Raw genomic sequence first — 20,101 nt, 5'->3', positions numbered from 1 at the left:
TGGGCTCAGTGGCTCATGCCTGTAATCTCAGCACTTTGGGAGGCAAAAGTGGGTGGATCACCTGAGGTCAGGAGTTCAAGACCAGCCTGGTCAACATGGCAAAACCTCGTCTCTAATAAAAATACAAAAATTAGCTGGGCATGGTAGCTGGCACCTGTAATTTCAGCTACCTGGGAGGCTGAGGCAGGAGAATCGCTTGAGCCTAGAAAGCAGAGGTTGCAGTTAACCAAGATCGCACCACTGCACTGCAGCCTGGGAGACAGAGTGAGATTCTGTCTCAAAAAACAAAAAAGATATTCACTGTCTATGCATCCCAGGATCTCCAGAACAACAATTAAAATAAATAAATAAAAAAGATGGCTGGGGGCAGTGGCTCATGTCTGTAATCCCAGCACTTTGAGAGGCTGAGGTGGGTGGATCACCTGAGGTCAGGAGTTCGAGACCAGCCTGACTAACATGGTAAAACCTCATCTCTACTGAATATAAAAAATTAGCTGGGCATGATGGTGCATGCCTGTAGTTCCAGGTACCTGGGAGGCTGAGGCAGGAGAATCATTTGAACCTGGGAGGTGGAGGTTGCAATGATCCAAGATTGTGTCATTGCACTGCAGCCTGGTCAACAAGAGCAAAACTCTGTCTCAAAAAAAAATAAGTAAATAAAATTAAAAATAAAGATATTCACTGAACCTGTTACTATGATATATTTAAGCAAGACACGGTGACCCTAAAAATTAGAGATCATTGAAGACCAAAGTAACAACACGTGGTCATTATTTCTCAAATTGAAGTATATAAAATATATAAAATAAATAAATTTAATTGCATGCTTAGGTAAGAAAATATTGATAAAAATGATTGAATATTTTATCTTATTTCATAATTCTAAGCAGGGCTTTAGCACAATATGAAAACTAGATTATTCATGTAATCCAAATAAAAGACAATTTTTATTCTAATTTTAACTCAGAAATTATTTTGCTTATTTAACAATTTTACTGAAAGGTAAATGAGATAAATAGGACAGATTATAATTACCTAACATTGCTATGGTAACTTATGTACAAATAGCTGTTCGTCACTGAAAGTCAAAAAAGTAACCAGCGCTGCAACTTAAGATGGATCATACAACAGAAATTAGTACCAAGTTACCTTATCTTATAATATTATGTTATTAAAATGAAATTTTAAAACAACACCAAAAATTAAGTTGGGGCTATACAAAGTGTGCAGAAAAGATTTCATATAACAGGCAAGAGACTGCCATCCTTAGAAAGGCCTGCATGCAAGGCTGGCCCTTGGCTGGTGTTTAGGAAATTGGAATTGGGAGGGTTTCCACCATTCCCTGAGAAGAGTGGCTCACTGTGTCTAAAGTTTTTATAGAAACCGCCAATGGGTGAAATCCAAAGCAGCAGCTGGTGTATCCATTAACATTCTCAAAACAGGATGCATCTGGACCCCTGTGTGCAATCTTCATAGCACACAGACACTAAATAGAAAGGCAGTCATTGCTGCCAAACAGGACCCAAATGCCACACACAGTGCAATGAAGCTATAAGCTCCCTATGGAGAGAAAAGTAGACAAATAAAAAATATTCAATATCCAATCCAAGTCCACATTAAATCTTGATTCCAGAAACGTGCATTAACCACTTCAAAGACTAAAATTTAAACCATCTTTTCTATAGCGATTTCCCATTTGGTTGGCAGGCATACAGGAGTAGAGAATGATTTAATTTACTTACAAGTATTCAGAAAAAATAGTGACCTCTACATTCAACCAGCTACAGCAGCTTAGCACCCAGCCAAAGCCTGCATCTCTCCCACCTTAAGATTTAGTGGTTGGCTAGAATTAGCAGCATCCAGGCCACATCTATCTCTGCATTCTAAGTTTGCTTCCAAGATAAAGATACAAATGCAGGCTGGCTCCAACCTAGCCAGAGATCCCAGCCCCACTCTCTGCATCCCAAAATCCCTCAAAGACCCAAGAGACTTTCCAGATTTCTACAGTCTCCTCACAGGTTCCCATGACAGTTAAATGCCCTCTCTTTACCTCAACTAGCTGCAGGTAGAATATAATGGGTACAACAGAAAATCACTGTAAGTGTAATATGAAGATAAACAGCCCTTTTAAGCATTTCATTATATTACATCTAGCTTACTTCTAAGTGATTTATTCAGATGTGACTGAAGAAAGTCTAAAGGGAAAAAAAGCAATTTAATTTGATAAATTAAAATCAATTATAGCCAAATTATTTGGCTATAACAAATTAAACATTTTAAGCAGACAGAAGATGCAAACATTTTAAGTTGACAGAAGATATAAAATGTTCACTATCAAAATGTCGCAACTGATAAAAATGTTCTCAAATATTTCTGTCTCAAACTTGCATTGTTCATTAAGGAAGCAAAATAGGTGGGACATACACAGCAACAACATCCCTCAAAAAACACCTTGGCTCATTCCTATAAGCCAGGCAGCAAATACATCATCCTTACATATGTTAATTACCTTCCAATTTCAAATTCTCAACTGTGAAATAAAGGGCCATTTTATTTGGCTGCTTCCAGTTCAATATGACTGTTTTTATTAAAACATCTCTAACTTGAAAAATATTTGGTGTTTTCTAAAAAACTGCAAATTGCCACAAATGGCCAGATAATTTGGAATAAACACCCTACAGAAAAAAATATATATTCAAGTTGCATAAGTCACTTTGAGCAATCCTTTGAAGATATTTCATTTATATCTAAATGAACCACAGGTTTAGCTGGCTTTTCCGGAAAACCAGAAGCAAATAATGTATGATTATAATGAAAACCATCTCAAGCAATTTTGAAATGAAGTACCACATGTCTTATGCTGTCCCTTCCATGCACTTGACAAAACAGCCTATAACAAATTGTTTACTTTGAGATTTAGCAGGAAAATTCCATGAGGTTTAAATGAGATGACTACTAATAAGCCATCTACCTTTGACTCTATTCCAATTAAAAATGGGTTAGGAAAGTGCTTTGAAAATCAAGTGTGTTCATCAGGGAATCATTTACCTAAGTCTTCTTAACACTGCTTAGTGAATATTAAGCCTGATATAGTAAATACACGCTAACCACTAAATTGAAGGGGAAAGAGGGAGAACAAAGAGACACGTAAAGTACACTTACTTTTTCTAGTAGGAAAAAGCCAATTAAAACTATCACCTATTAGTTTTATTGGAATCAGTCTTACAGGAGGTCAAACTTCCTACTGTCGCTACCTATTCTCAATATTTTTCTTATTTCTTCCTAAACTTCTAGAGCCGTGCTGTCCAATAAATATGTGAGCCACATATGTAATTTTAAATGTACTAGTAAACCCCATTAAAAGGTGAAATTAATTTTAAATATACTTAACTCAGTATGTCCCAAATAGTAATCATAGTAATAATTTTAACATGTAATCAATATAAAAAATTATCAAGCAGATATTCTACGCTGTTCTTCCCACTCCAATGACAAAATCCAGTATATATAACACAACACATCTCAATTAGGACTAGCCAGGATTTCAAGTGCTCAACAGTTACAGGTGGCTAGTGCCTACTGAATTGGACACTGCAGTTTCAGTGCATTGAATTTCTATCCCACTTAGCGCTAATTAAAACTTCACCCTCTCACCTGATAATTATGTTAAGATCTCAGAAAGTAACCCACTACAGGCAGTTTCAAGCCCTAATTTACCTCTAATTACTCTTACAGCAATGCAATGAATCATGATTTAAAATTTTTAAAAAAATTGCTGTTAAATTATTAGTCAAGAGCCCAGGGCAATGGACAGTAAAGAAATAATGTAGGCCATGGGCCGAGATGACAAAACGGTCCTTTTATTTAAAGCTATAACAATAATCTGAAGCCAGCCCTGTAAAATAGACATCCATTGAAAAAGGCATGCTAGTTCTTTTGCTTTTTTGTGTACTTGGCCTCCTGTGTCCCTAAACAGATCTCTTCTCAGCAGGGTTTGCTCAGCAAGTCACTTGTTGAGTCTTGCGGTCAACAGAGGGCGTAGGGAATGGCAGGGGCTGGCATAGGAGTGAGGGGGAGGAGGCAAGGTGAGGGGGGCCAGGTGAGGAGGGGGGCACTTGAAGGGGAGTTCAAGACCAGCCTGGGCAACATGGTGAGACCACCGCCCCTCACCGCTGCCATCTCTGGTCTCACTCTGGTCTCTCACACATGCACAAATTAAATTTAATTTAAAAATTAAAAAATTGTTTTAAAATAAGTGAAATATTTACATGGATTATGTATCATTCATTTTTTTTTTTTTTTGAGACGGAGTCTCGCTCTGTCGCCCAGGCTGGAGTGCAGTGGCGGGATCTCGGCTCACTGCAAGCTCCGCCTCCCGGGTTCACGCCATTCTCCTGCCTCAGCCTCCCAAGTAGCTGGGACTACAGGCGCCCGCCACTACGCCCGGCTAATTTTTTTGTATTTTTAGTAGAGACGGGGTTTCACCGTTTTAGCCGGGATGGTTTCGATCTCCTGACCTCGTGATCCGCCCGCCTCGGCCTCCCAAAGTGCTGGGATTACAGGCGTGAGCCACCGCGCCCGGCCGTATACATTCATTTTGTAGAACTATAGATCCCATGTAACTGGGAACTCTTTACTCTTCTAACACAACATTTATTTAGCCACAAATAAAAGACCAGTGATGTAGCCTGTACACAAAAAAGTAAGAAAACACTGGTTAGGCTGGGACAGGGGTAGGGGAAAGAGATCTACAAAATTAAAATTTTATTGGGAAGGATCACTAATTAGAATCAGAACAATTACTGCTTTAAAGTAGTTAAGAACAGAGCACAAGGAACCCAGAGAAGAAGCAGATATGATTCAGAGCAGAGCTTACAGAGCAGATGGTATCTGAGCCGAGACTGATAGAATAACATTAATAAGGGCATTCACGGCCATTTATTATCACTTAACTGCAATGCATTTTGTATAAGTTATTTCTACTCTTCATATCAACCATGGAAAATAATACTTATTCTTCTCTTTTGAAGTTAAAGAAGTGGTAAGTGGTCTAAGAAGATAAATTAGCATACCAACACCATATAGCTCAAGTTCAGTGACTCAAGAGGGCCCGCGTCTCCCCAAGAGGTTGCTCAGCAGGCAGGCGAGGTAGAGAGCCCTTCCAAGAAGTGACAGTGAGATGTGAAAGGTCTCAGTGTGTCTCTGAGAACAACAGAAACCAGTATGTAGACCAAGTGGGAAAAGCCACGGAAGAGGCAGGGATTTCCTCTTAAGATAGCAAGAATAAACAGAGCAGGGCTGAGGGAAGCCATGGAAAACGGGCAGAATACCATGCACTTAGTGAGAAAAAAACAGCTTTTACTTTAGAAAGGGGGAAAGAATGGTGGTGGTCTAGGTAAGCCTAGAAGCAGAGGAAAGGGCAATGGAGAAAAAATAAACAAAATGTATGAGTCAGGGTTCTCCAGAGGTACAGAACCAACAAGATACACGTATATGTATAAGGGAGTTTACGAGAGAGAATTGGTTCACACGGTTAGAAGGCAGTCCCACAATAGGCTGTCTGCCAGGTAGGGAAAGAGAGAAGCTAGTAGTGGCTCAGTCCAAGTCCAAAAGCCTCAAAACCAGGAAAACCCGCAGTGCAGTCTTCAGTATGAGGCCGAGGGCCTGAGAGCCTCGGGAAAGCCGCTGGTGCAAGTCCGAGAGTCCAAAGGCATAAGAACCTGGAGTCTCATGTCCGAGGGCAGGAAGAAGGGAAGCAAGTGTCCTGCACGGGAAGAAGAAAAAAAGAGAGCCAGAAGCTTCACCTAGCAAGATTATCCCATCTTCCTCCGCCTGCTTTATTCTATACAGTGCAGCGTGTGTACACCACTTCTGTGATATTGTTCCTAATATCCATGGGAAGAAAGAGTGATGTTACTCCCAATAGCTTATGGGGGTGTACATCCCCTGTGATATTATTCCTAGTATGCAGGGGCAGGGAAAGGATGACATTACTCCCAATATCGCAGAGGGTGTACTCCCCGCCTTGTGATATTTTTCCTAATATTTAGGGGATAGTGGGTGATATTACTCCCAATATCACAGGGGGTGTGCACCCCCCGTGGTATTCTTCCTAATATCCGGGGTGGGGGGAGAGGTTGATATTACTGTCATTGTCACAGGGGGTGTACATCCTCCCGTGGTATTGTTCCTAATATCTGGGGGGCGGAGAGGATATTACTGTCACTATCACAGGGGGTGTAGAACCCTTCAGTGATAATGTTACTAATATCTGGGGGGGAGAGGATGATATTACTGTCAATATAGCAGGGTGTGTACACCCCCCGTGGTATTGTTCCTAATATCCGGGGGGGGGGGGGGAAGAGGAAATTACTGTCAATATCACAGTGGGTGTACACCTCTTCTGTGATATTGTTCCTAATATCCGGGGGGGAGAGGATATTACTGTCAATATCGCAGGGAGTTTACAACCCTTCTGTGATATTGCTCCTAATATCCGGGGGTGGGAGAGGATATTACTGTCAATATCGCAGGGGGTGTACACCCCTTCTGTGATATTGTTCCTAATATCCAGGTGGGGAGAGGATCATATCACTTTCAATATCGCCAAGTGTGTACATCCCCATTGTGATATTGTTCCTATATTTAGGGGATAGTGGATTACATTACTGTCAATATCACAGGGGGTGTGCAACCCCCATGGTATTTTTCCTAATGTCCAGTGAGGGAGAAAACACTACTACTTCCAATATGGCAGGGGGTGTACACGTCCTATGCAATACTGTTCCTATATCCATGGGGGAAAAGGATATTGGGAACAATATTACAAACAATATCACAGGGGGGTGTACATGTCCTGAGATATGAGGAGTAATATAACACTCTCCCCCTCTAGATATTACAAACTGTATCACAGAGGGGTGTAAACCCACTGCGATGTGGAAAGTAATATCATCCTCTCCCCCACTGGATATTACAAATAATATCACAGACGGTGTACATGTGAGGTGTTTATGATATTGGGAGTAACATCATATCCCCCAGTGGATATTATGAACAATATCACAGAGGGGTGTAAACACACTCTGCCTTATAGGGAGTAATATACTCCTCTCCCACCCTAGATATTACAAAAAATATCACAGAGGGTGTACACACAGGGTGTTTATGGTATTGGAAGTAGTATTATCTCCCCCATGGATATTACTAATAATATCACAGGGGTGTGTACATCCCCTGTGATACAGGGAGTAATATCATCCTTTCCCAGCCTGGATATTACAAACAATATGGCAGGGGGCAGTACACCCTTGCGATATGGGTAGTAACATCATCTCCTCCCCGCGTGGATATTATGAACAATATTCTAGGGGGTTGTACACCCCCTGCAATATGGGGAGTAGCATCATCCTCCCCCCCACTAGATATTATAAACAATATCACAAGGGGGTGTACACTTCCTGTGATAAAAGGAGAAATACAGTTCTTTCCCCCCAGAGATATTATGAACAATATCGCAGGGAATTGTTCTCCCATGCTATATGGGGAGTAACATCTTCATCTTCCCCCTGGGTATTACGAGAAATAATGCAGGGGAATGTAAATCCCCTGCGATATGGGGAGTAAAATCATTCTCTCTGGCCAGGAGCGGTGGCTCACACCTGTAATCCCAGCACTTTGGGAAGCCAAGGCGGGCAGATCACGAGGTCAGGAGATCGAGACCATCCTGGCTAACATGGTGAAACCCCGTCTCTACTAAAAATACAAAAAATTAGCCAGGCGCGGTGGCGGGCGCCTGTAGTCCCAGCTACTAGGGAGGCTGAGGCAGGAGAATGGTGTGAACCTGGGAGGCGGTGCTTGCAGTGTGCCAAGATCAGGCCACTGCACTCCAACCCGGGTGACAGAGCAAGGCTCTGTCTCAAAAAAAAAAAAAAAATCAAATCATTCTCTCCCTCCCTGGATATTATGGACAATATCACAGGGGGGTATAGAATGAGTTTCTAGAATATATTTGAGGAGGGTGATGGGCGGTGTGTGCATGCTTCATGGCCTTATTCAATTAAACACTCTGCTCTCAATTTATTGCTAAATCCTCCTTGAGCCCTTAGATTTCATAACGGTTGTCGCGACATTTTTCTGGATGTAGAAAACGTTCCCATTTCTTGCCACCTCATGGGCTACACCTTGACCTAAAGTTTTTGTGTAGATACTTGTGCTTACTCTGCAGCCTTTCCAGGGTTTGCTGAAGATGGGGGTATTTAGGCTGGGCAAGAGGTGGTGAGGTAAATTGGGGTTTATCGATTATAGAACAGGCTCCTTTAGAGGGATATAAAGCACCGCCAAGTCCTTTGAGTTTTAAGCTGTTGCTTGTAGTGTTCTGGCGAACAGTTTTTTTGATCTAACTATTTGAGTTTAGAGTTAAGCATAGCGGGGTATCTACTCCCAGTTTGGATCTTAGCTATTTTGTCTTCAGAATATTAAAGGCACCTTCGTAGTTATTTCAGCTGGGGTTTTTTTACAACTTTTTTACAACTTATTTAGAAACTTTCAGGTTTCTAAATATATGAATGAACCATAATATAAGCCTTGGCCAATACAATGCCGGTTAGGCCTCCTACTGTAAAAAGGAAAACAAATCCCCGGGCTCACAGCATTGCGGGGGATCATTTGATATTACCGCCGTGAAGTGTAGCTAGCTAGTCAGCTAAAAACTTTGATGCTAGTAGGAATAGCAATAATTATAATAGCAGAGGTGAAGCAGGCTCATGTATCCACATCTATCCCTACCGTAAATATACGGTGGGCCCATACAATAAACCGTAAGGATCCAACTGATCCTATAGCTCACACTAGGCCCATATACCTGAATGGTTCTTTTCCAGAATAGTATGTTACGACGTGGGAAATTATCCCAAAGCCCAGTGGGATGAGGATGTAGACTTCAGGGTGACCAAAGAATCTGAATAAATGCTGAAATAAGATAGGATCACCTCCGCCAGCCAGGTAGAAAAAAATAGTATTAAGATTGCAGTCAGTTAACAATATAGTGATGCTGGCGGCTAGGACTCGGAGACAAAGGAGTAGAAGAACTGCTGTAATTAGGACTAATCAGATGAAGAGGGGTGTGTGATATTGGGACATGGCTGGGGGTTTTATATTAACAATTGTGGTAATAAAGTTAATAGCCCCTGAAGTAGAAGAAACACCTGTCAAGTGGAGTGAAAAGATAGTGAAACCTACAGAGGCGCCTGCATGTGTTAGGTTTCCTGCTAAGGGAGGAGAGACTGTTCAGCCGGTTCCAGTGCCGGCTTCTACTATAGTGGATGCAAGTAATAATAGGAAGGAGGGTGGGAGGAGTCAGAAGCTCATATTATTTATGCAGAGAAATGCTATATCGGGGGCGCCAATTATCGGGGGACTAATCAGTTGCCAAGACCTCCAATTATAGTATTACTATAAAGAAAATTATGACAAATGCATAGGCTATAACAATGACATAAATTTGATCATCTAGTAGAGTTCAGCTCGAATAAGGCTTAAAGCTGTACTGACTATCCCTGCTCATGTGCCAAATAATAAATATAATGTCCCGATATCTTTATGGTTGGTTGAGATTAGTCAACTGTCAGCCAACATAAATGAAGTGAGAAAAAAGGGTAAAATGACTGAGTAGGGCATTAGACTGTACATCTAAAAACAGAGGTCAACGCCTGTTTTTACCAGTCCCAAGGTGATTTTCATGTTGAATTGTAAATTCAAAGAAGCAGCTTCAATCCTGCTTCTCTCACCTTTTTTCCCCCAGTGGCTGGAGAAGTAGATTCAAACCAGTTGACTAGGGAGTTTAGCTGTTAAGTTTTCATGGGTTTAAGCCTCATCAATTTAGTAAGGACTTAGCTTACTTAAAGTGATTGATCTGTATTCAATTGACCAAGGGTGTTCTGTATCTGAGAAAGTACATTTCAGGGTCACCATACAACAACTGTTCAAAAAGGCCTCCAATATGGGACAGTCCTATTTATTATCTCAGAAATATTCCTCTTCGCTGGATTCTTTTGAGCATTCTACCATTCTAGCTTAGCCCCTACTCCAGAATTAGGAGGGCATTGACCCCCAACAGGTATTTCTCCCCTTGACCCCCTGGAAGTACCTCTCCTGAATCCATCTGTATTACTTGCATCAGGAGTTTCAATTACTTGAGCCCATCACAGCCTAACAAAAAATAATCAAAAACATGCAAGCCAAGCACTACCTGTTACAATTATATTAGATATTTACTTCACCCTCCTACAAGTCTCAGAATACTTCAAAGCTCCCTTTGCTATTTCTGATGGTATTTATGGCTCAACATTTTTTTATAGCTACAGGCTTTCACAGAATTCACGTCATTATTGGATCAACGTTCCTCAATCTGCCTTCTCCGCCAATTAAAATACCACTTTACATCTAGTCGTCACTTTGCCTTTGAAGCCGCTGCCTGATATCAACACTTTGTAGATGTAGTATGACTATTCTTGTATGTTTCTATTTATTGATGAGGATCTTACTCTTTTAGTGTAAATAGTACCATGATTTCCAAAGTTTTGATAGCATCCGAAAAACAGTAATTCACCTAACATTAACCCTAGTAATCAACACCCTATTAGCCCTGTTACTAATAATTATTACATTTTGGCTCCCACAACTTAATATATATATGTAGAGAGAGAGAAAAATATATATATATGTATAAAATAAATATATATAGAAAAATCTAGCCCTTATGAATGCAGATTTGACCCTCTATCCTCTGCCCACATTCCCTTCTCCATAAAATTCTTTCTAGTAGCCATCACATTTCCCCATTTGAGTTAGAATTCGCCCTACTACTACCCTTACTGTGAGCCCTTCAAACAATCTGATACTAATAATCCCTGCGATATGTGTAGTGACTTCATACTTCACCTCCCCGGATATTACGGCCAATATCAGAGTGGAGTATGCACCCCCTGCAATATGGGGAGTGATATCATCCTCTCCCCACTGGATGTTATGGACAATATCACAGGAGGTTTACTTTCTCTGGGTTATGGGGAAAAATATCCTCCTGTCCCCGCCTGGATGTTAGACATATTTAGAGGGGGTTGTCCACCCCCTGTGATATGGGGAGTAGTAATATCCTCTCCTGCCCTGGATGTTATGGACAATATATAGGGAGATGTACAATCCCTTCGATATGGGGAGTAATATCATCCTCTTCCCCCTAAAAGTTACGAACAATATCACAGGGGGGTGTACACCCCCTGCAATATCTGGAGTAGTATCATCCCCTCCTTCCCTAAATGTTACAGAGACTATCACAGGGGTGTGTACACCTTCTGAAACATGGGAATAATATTCTCTTCCCCTCTGGATGTTATTTTGGACAACATTACAGCCGTGTGCACCCTCTATGATATGCAGAGTAATATCATCCTCTCCCCCCCGGATGTAAGTGACAATACCACAAACGGGTTTACATCCCCTGTGATATGGGGAGTAATATCATCCTCTTTCCCACTGGATATTAACAATATCACTTGGGGATGTACAACCCCTGTGATATTCGGAATAATATCTTCTAATCCACTGAAAATTATAAACAATATCACCAGTATACACTCCCTGTGATATTGGAAGTAATATCATCCTCTAATCCCCTAAAAATTATGAACAGTATCACAGGGGAGTGTATACTTCCTACTATATTGGGAGTAATATCATCCTGTCGTCTTCTAAATATTATGAACAATATTACAGGGGATGTAACACTCCCTGCGATATGTGGAGTAATATCATCCTCTCCTTCCCTAAATATTGTGAACAATATCACAGGAGGTTGTACACAATCTGCGATATTGTTTGTAGTATCCAGTGGGAAAGAGCATGCTATTACTCCCCATATCACAGGGGGTGTACACCCCCACTGTGATATATTCAATAACATCCAGAAGTAATATTACTGACAAAATTGCAGGGGGTGTAAACCCCACCTGTGATACCGTTCCTAATATCCCGGGGAAGAGAGGATGATATTATTCCCAATATTGCAGGGGGTGTACACCCACCCTATGATATTGTTATTAATACCCAGGAGGGGAGACAATGGTATTACTCACAGTATCAAAGAGGTTGTACAGCCCCCCTGTGATAGTTTCTAATATCCAGGGGATGTATACCACCCTTGTGATATTGTTTCTAATATGTAGGGGGAAGGACAATGATATTACTGTCCGTATCACAGGGGGTGTACAACAAGCCCCCCGGGATATCATTCCTAATATCCATGGGAAGAAAGAATATTATAATATCACAGAAGTTGTAAACCCCCTCTGTGATATTGTTCCTAATATCAAAGACAGAAGGGTATGATGTTCTTCCCAAAATCACAGGAAGTGTATACACACCCTGTGCTATTTTTCCTAATATCGAGAGTGAGAGACAATGATACTTCCAATATCGTAAGGAGTGTACACTCTCCCCGTGATACCAGGTGGGGAAATGTTGATATTACTCCAAATGTCACAGTGGGTGTACACACGTTTTGCGATATTGTTCCTAATATCAAGTGGGGAGGAGGATTGTATTACTCCCACCATATTACTCCCCACACCCCATTATACTGTTCTTAATATCCAGATTTGGAGAGGATGATATTACTCCCAAAATCTCAGGAGGTGTAGACCCCTTCTGTGATACTGTTTCTTATATCCAGGGGAAGACTAGATGATAGTACTCCCAACAGTGCAGGGTGTTACACGCCACCCCCCATGATATTGTCTCTAATATCAAGTTGGGGAGAGGGTGATATTGCTCCAAATAGTGTAAAGGGTGCACACCAGCACTGTGATATTATTCCTAGTATCCAGAGAAGGAGAGAATGGTATTATTTTTAATATCACAGAGGGTGCACACCCCCCTTGTGATACTGCTCCTAACATCCAAGGGGTAGAGGATGAAATTACTCCCAATATCACAGTGGGTATACAACCCCCGTGGTATTGTTCCTAATATCCAGGGGGTATAGGACGATAGTACTATAAATATCGCAAGGGGTGTACACCCCTTCTGTTATTGTTACTAATATCCGTGGGGGGAGTCGATGATATTACTTCCAATATCACAGGGCATGTACACCCCACTTGTGATATTGTTCCTAATATCCTGGGAGGAGACTACGATATTACTGGCAATATCGCAGGGTGTGTGCATTACCGTGATATTGTTCCTAATGTCCAGCAAGGGAGAAAATATTACTCCCAATATGGCGGGGATGTACACTTCCCATGCGATATCGTTCCTAATATCCATGGGGGAAAAGGATGATATTACTCTAAATGGCGCAGGAGGTGTAAACCGCCCCTGTGATATTGTTCTCAATATCCATAGGGGGAGAGAATGATATTACTCCCAATATCACAGGTGGTGTACACCCCTCCTTTTATATTATTCCTAATATCCAGGTTGGGAGAGAATAATATTACAGGTAAAATAGCAGGGGGTGTACACTCTGCCTGTGATATTGTTCCTAATATCCCAGGGAAGAGTGGACAATATTACTCTCAATATCACAGGATGTGTACACCCCCTTTGTGATATTGTTCCTAATATCCATAGGCGGAGAGGGTGATACCACTCCCAATAGTGCAGAAAAGGTACAGCCCCGCTGTGATATCATTCCTAATATCCAGAGGGGACAGGATGATATTACTCCCAATATCAGAGAGGGCATACACCCCCTCCCCATGATATTGTTCATAATACCCAGGGGGTAGAGGATGATATTACTCCCAATATCGCAGTGGGTGTACACCCACCCTGTGATATTGTTCCCAATATCCATGTGGAAAGGGTATAAAGTTACTCCCAATATCACAGGGGTTGTACAACCCCCTTGTGATATTGTTCCTTATATTCGGGGGAGAGACAATGATATAGCTGTCCATATTGCAGATGGTGTACCACCCCCTGGGAATTTGTTCCTAATATTCAGTGGGAAAGATGATATTAATTAAAATGTCACGGGGGGTATACAACCCCTTTGTGATATTATTCCTAATATCCAGGGAAAGAAAGAATATTATTCCCAATATCGCAGGGGATGTACACCCCTCTCTGATACTCTTTCTAATATCCCTTTGGGGAGTCTATAATATTACTGGCAATATCATAAGGAGTGTATACCCCCCGTTATATTGTTCCTTATGTCCAGCAAGGGAGAAAATATTAATCCCAATATGGAACAGGGTGTACACACCCATGAGGTATTGTTCCTAATATCCAGGGAGGGAAAGGATGATATTACTCCCAATGTTGCAGTGGTGTATAACCCCCCGTGATATTGTTCCTAATATCTAGGTGAGGAAAGTACAGTATTACTCCCAATATAGCAGGGGTTGTACACCACCTTTGTGATATTGTTCTACATATCCATGGGGAAAGAAAATGATAGTACTCCCCAATATCACAGGTGGTGTACAACCCCTTGTGATACTGTTTCTAATATCCATGTTGGGGGAGGATATTACTCCCAATATTGCACGTGTTGCACAGACCCCCTTTGATATTGCTTGTACTATGCAGGGTGTGGGGGGAGAGGATGATATTGGGAGTAATATCACCCTCTCTCCCCGGATAGTAAAAGCAATATTCAGGGTGGTCGACACTTCCTGCACTATTGAGTATAATATCCTCTCCCAACCTGGATATTAGGAACAATATCACAGGGGCATGTACACTCCCTTCCTTTCACCATATACAAAAATCAACTCAAGATGGATGAAGGACTTATGTAAGACCCAAAACTATATAAACCCTAGAAGAAAACTTAGGAAATATCATTCTGGACATAGACGCAGGCAAATATTTCATGATGAAGATTCCAAAGCAATTGCAACAAGAAGAATTGACGAGTGGGACCTAACGAAACTAAAGAGCTTCAGCACAGCAAAAGAAACTATCAACAGAGAACACCCTACAGAACAGAAGAAAATATTTTCAAATTACATATCTGAAAAAGGTCTAATACTTAGCATGTATAAAGAATCAATAAGCAAAAAACAAACCCACTACAAATAGGCAAAGAACATGAGCCCCCACATTCACCATCCTCAAGTCCATGTGCAACTTCTTTCTGGATGCTGGACAAGGACTTGGGTACCAAGAGGGCACTGAACGGGTTAACACTTAAGCCATCTGTGGATTCTATTTTCAAAAGACAACGTATGTATGGCAAACAACCATATGAAAAAATACTCAACATCACTAATCATCAGAAAATCAGAACCATGAGATACCATATCACACCGGCCAGAATGGCTATTATTAAAAAATCAAAATATAACAGACGGTGCCGAGTTTGTGGAAAAAAGGGAATGCTTATACACTGCTGGTGGTGATATAGAAAGGAGACAGGGAAATACTGGGTAGAAGAGAGTGGTTCCCTGGCAAAGCCCTGCCCACAAGCCTGGAAACCCATGGCCCTAAATGGGAACAGGCATTCCTGCTTTTGCACCCAAAAGTTGTCTTTCAGCTCACCATGCAACCCCTGTCCTGTACCCATATATGCCCCAGACCCCAGGCTCCAGAAGCAGACAAGCAGATGAGGAGATGAACAGAAGAGCAGAATTGCAGAATGATGTGGCAGAAAGAAGAGAAGGAGCATCTGAATGCCAAGAGGAGTTTGGCTGGCAGTGGTTGGAGAGATCAGCCTCTGGATGGCAAAGCTCCCAGGGAAGATCATCTTCCCATTCCATCCCCTTTCCAGCTCCCCATCCATCCCATTGACTGCCACCTCCACCACTCAATAAAGCCCCCACATTCACCATCCTCAAGTCTGTGTGCAACTTAATTCTTTCTGGATGCTGGACAAGGAACTGGGTACCAAGAGGGCACTGAACAGGTTAACACTTAAACCGTCTGTGGATGGCAAAGCTAAAAGAGTGCACTGTAACACATGCCCACTTGGGCTGTGGGAGTCGCAGGAACCCACCCCTAAGACAGTACCATGGCCACTTGCCCTGCCTATTGCAACTGCCTGTCTGCATGCTCCCCTGCCCAGTAAGGGGTTTGACAGCAAACACGGTGGCCAGACAAGCCACACCCCTGTTGCACATCCTGCCAAGGGGAGTCAGGGAACTCTCCAGTTTCATCAGGAATGTAAATTTGTTCAGCCATTGTGGAAAGCAGTTTGGAGATTTCTGAAATAACTTAAAACAGAACTACCATTCAACCCAGCAATCCCATTATTGGGTATATACCCAAAGGAATATAAATCATTCTGTCATAGACATATGCATGCATATTTTCATTATAACACTATTCACAATAGCAAAGACACGGAATCAACTTAGATGCCTGTTAACAGAAGACTGGATTAAAAAAATGCAGCGTACATACACCATGGAATACTACACACCTATAAAATAGGATGAAATGATGTCTTTTGCAGCAACATGAATGGAGCTGGAGACCATTATTCTAAGTGAATTAATGCAGGAACAGAAAACCAAACAAACACTGCATGTTCTCACTTATAAGTGGGGGCTAAACATTGAGTCCACATGGACACAGAGAAAGGAACAATAGACACAAGGTCTACTGTGGGTGGAGGGTGGGGGGGAGAGTGAGGATCAAAAAACTCCCTATTAGATACTACGTTCACTACCTGGATGACTACCTAATCTGTACACCAAATCCCATTGACACACATTTTACCCATATAATAAACCTGCACATGTACCCGCTGAACCTAAAATAAATGTTGGAAGGAAATAAAGTTACAACCAACTCTTGTACTATTGTGAGGAAACAATCATATGAGTTGACAAAAAATCAGCTACTAATAGATTTATAATAGTATATATGTAGCAGAAAAATATCAGATATAACTTATATACCCAAAAGTATGACTTAAAAACAGCATGACAATCTTTATGATGGGATATTGTGCAACTACTAGAAGCACATTTTCAGAGATTATTTATTAACATATGATAATGACTACATTGAGTGGTTTTTAGAAGCATGAATTGAAACCATGTATAAGCATGAATTTATTGAACTTATATATAACATTACACACACATTTACATAATTATAAAATAAGTATGCTCATGTTCATAATATGTATTTATTTATATTCATATGTAAGGCCAATAGGAAGTAATCTCTGTATCTGAGTTATTATTTCATAAATAATTTATGCTTGTTCTGTGAAAATACAAACACTGCTATGGATCTTCCAAGTATCCTGAAAGGATACCGTTTATAATTAAACAATAACAATTTTAGAAATAATTATTTTAAATAAGGCTATGATAAATCTGGTTTCATTGCACACTTTAACTTTGGAACATTTCATGAAGCGTCCCTTGATCACGACTCTCATATTCAGGAGTTTTTTGAGATCAAAATGGGACAATCAGTATGAATCTATTTTTTAGACATGCAAATGGATAACTTTAAATAGCAGTAGCGATATAATCAGAGTGCACAGTTGCTCTGGGACAAAACTTGGAAATGAGCATATTTTTAGATTCTTAATGTTTTACACACTTTAGCATTCCACAGCACCATTACATACTCATTTTTCTACTAGAATACCTTGGTAAAAATTCACAGTAGAGATCAGGCTTGTCCTTCATACATTAACTAATCAAGTAGGAAACTGCAAATGAGAACACAGTGCCAAACATAGGCACCACATGGAAACAAGCATGGAACTGCCAGGAAGCCATTTTTGTAGCTTTGTAGCCCAATTATATTTTTCCTAATGTATTGCACACAAAACTTGGGGGAAAAAAAAGAGGCAGAGAGAAAACAGGTTATATCAGCCCTATCTCACAATCCACAAGTTCATCCTATTAGAGGAGTAACTATGTAAAACAAATTTTATCTGTTGAATGTCCTATTTAGTTAATCGCAAAACTGTATGAGAACACACTTGTGACTTATTTAGCAGCTTGTTTTTTCGCTTTCCACTGGCTTCACAAATGTCCTTTGGAAATAGAATGTGCATTTGGAACCTTGTACACCTTTTCTTTCTCCAGTACCCTGTTGTCACTTCCATCACTAAGGTGACAGAAGCAACTAGGGGCAATGCATTTGTAGCACCCCTGGGTCAGAGGTATCCTCCAGGGGAAGGATCAGACCTGCTTGAAAGCATGTCGTTGGAATTGGGAGGCTTCTAGTAGCTATAACATAAGCACTGATGTTTACTGTTCCCTGCCCTCCACTTTGATCACTCTGGGAAACGTTTTTTTTTTTAAAAATCAATTGTATTGAAACATAATTTACATAAAATAAATACTATTTTAAAGTGTACAGTTTGCTGAGTTTTGCCAGATGTAACCATCCAGGTGAATAAAATTGATTAAACTGATCTTTCAAATAATAAATTAACTTTGCAATCTTGCTAGAAATTTAATTTGTTCACAGTTTATTATCCATTCTATGTACTGCTACATTCAATTGGTTATTATGTTTTAAGGACTTTTGAGTCTATGTTTATGAGGGATAAACATCAAAGTTGTATAATGCCTTTGTCTCGATTTGGAATCGGCAATACTGGGTTCATAAAATAAGACAGGAAGTGTCCCTTTAAATTTTCTTTTCTTTTTTTTTTTTTTTTTTTTGAGACGGAGATTCACTCTTGTTGCCCAGGCTGGAGTGCAATGGCACAATTTCGGCTATCCACAATCTCTGTCTCCCAGATTCAAGCTATTCTCCTGCCTCTGTCTCCCGAGGAGCTGGGATTACAGGTAAGCGCCACCATGCCCTGCTAATTATGTACTTTTAGTAGAGACGGGGGTTTCTCCATGCTGGTCAGGTTGGTCTCAAACTCCTGACCCCAGGTGATCTGCCCATCTTGGCCTCCCAAAGTGCTGGGATTACATGTGTGAGCCACTGTGCCCGGCCCTTAAATTCTATTTCTTAAAAAGAGTCCGTTCAAGATTGATATTATAGATACTCCTCAACTTACAATTGTCTTATGTCTTAATGAACTCATCCTAAATTGAAAATATTGTAAGTCTAAAACGCATTTAATATATTTAACCTACTGAATATCATGACTTAGCCTCACCTACCTTAAACTTGCTCAGAACACTTACATTATCCTACAATTGGGCAAAATCATCTACCACAAGGCCCATTTTAAAATATTCAGTATCTCATGAAATTTATTGAAAACTATACTGATAGTGAAAAACTGGTCATATTGATGCTCATCATTAATGTACACAGATGAAAGCACCATTATCAAGTCAGAAGAGCACAAGTCAAACCACTGTAAGTTGAGGATTCTCTGTACTTTCTTAAATGTTTGATAGAATTCACCTAAGAAAGCATGTAGCCTATAATTATAGAAATCTTTTTAAATTAAAAAAATTCTTCAATACATAGAGAAGCTATTACTTTTTCTATTTCATTTTGCATCCGTTTTAGGAATTAGTTTTACAAATAATTTCCCATGTTATTTTAATTGTCAAATGTATTGGCCTAAAGTTTTCATAATTATATTGATGTCTGTAGGTTCTGTAGTTACATCCTCTATTTAATTCCCATTATCTACATTATGTAGCTTCTCTAATTTTTTTCGAGATAAATCTTGCTAGCCATTGTTTATTAAAAAAATTTTTTTCAAAGAACCAATTTGTGGGTATATTAATTAGCTCCACCTTTTGTTATTTGCTATGTTGTTGGTTTACATTTTTATCTTTATCATCTTCCTTCTTCTTAATTTGGATATACTTTGCTCATTTTTTAGCCTCTTAAAAAAGAACCTAAAGGTCATTGATTGAAGCCTTTTATTTTCAATATATTACATCTATAAATGTACCTTTAAGAAACGATTTATCTGCATCCCACATTTTATTAAGTTTTTAAAAAATTTTCTTTCAGTTTAAACTATTTTTTTGTGTGTGAAACTTTTCTTGGACAATGGGTTTTTCTGAAGTATTTTGTTTAATGTCCAAATGTTGGGGTGTTATTGTACATATCCTACTGTTGTCCATCTCTGGTTCATGATACAATGCATGTTCTCCATTGCACTTAGATAACATGCCTCCATGTCTCTGGAGAATTC

At 40.2% G+C, this 20,101-nt stretch overlaps 1 pseudogene, besides 1 other annotated feature; it reads right to left on the bottom strand.

Moving 5' to 3' along the window:
* ASNSP5 (ASNS pseudogene 5) lies at positions 1,385-1,537 on the bottom strand (annotated as a pseudogene).
* Positions 8,101-8,395: a silencer, noted in NCBI's record as "tiled region #3850; HepG2 Repressive DNase matched - State 22:ReprW". NCBI's record gives its function as "represses a minimal TATA promoter and a strong SV40 promoter by Sharpr-MPRA in HepG2 cells {active_cell/tissue: HepG2}" and the evidence as "EXISTENCE:reporter gene assay evidence [ECO:0000049][PMID:27701403]".

This window comes from Homo sapiens, unplaced genomic scaffold, assembly GCF_000001405.40.
Source record: "Homo sapiens unplaced genomic scaffold, GRCh38.p14 Primary Assembly HSCHRUN_RANDOM_CTG42".
Taxonomy (NCBI): Eukaryota; Metazoa; Chordata; class Mammalia; order Primates; family Hominidae; genus Homo; species Homo sapiens.
Note: the sequence above shows the minus strand (reverse complement) of the source record. Positions and strands in the feature narration are given on the sequence as shown.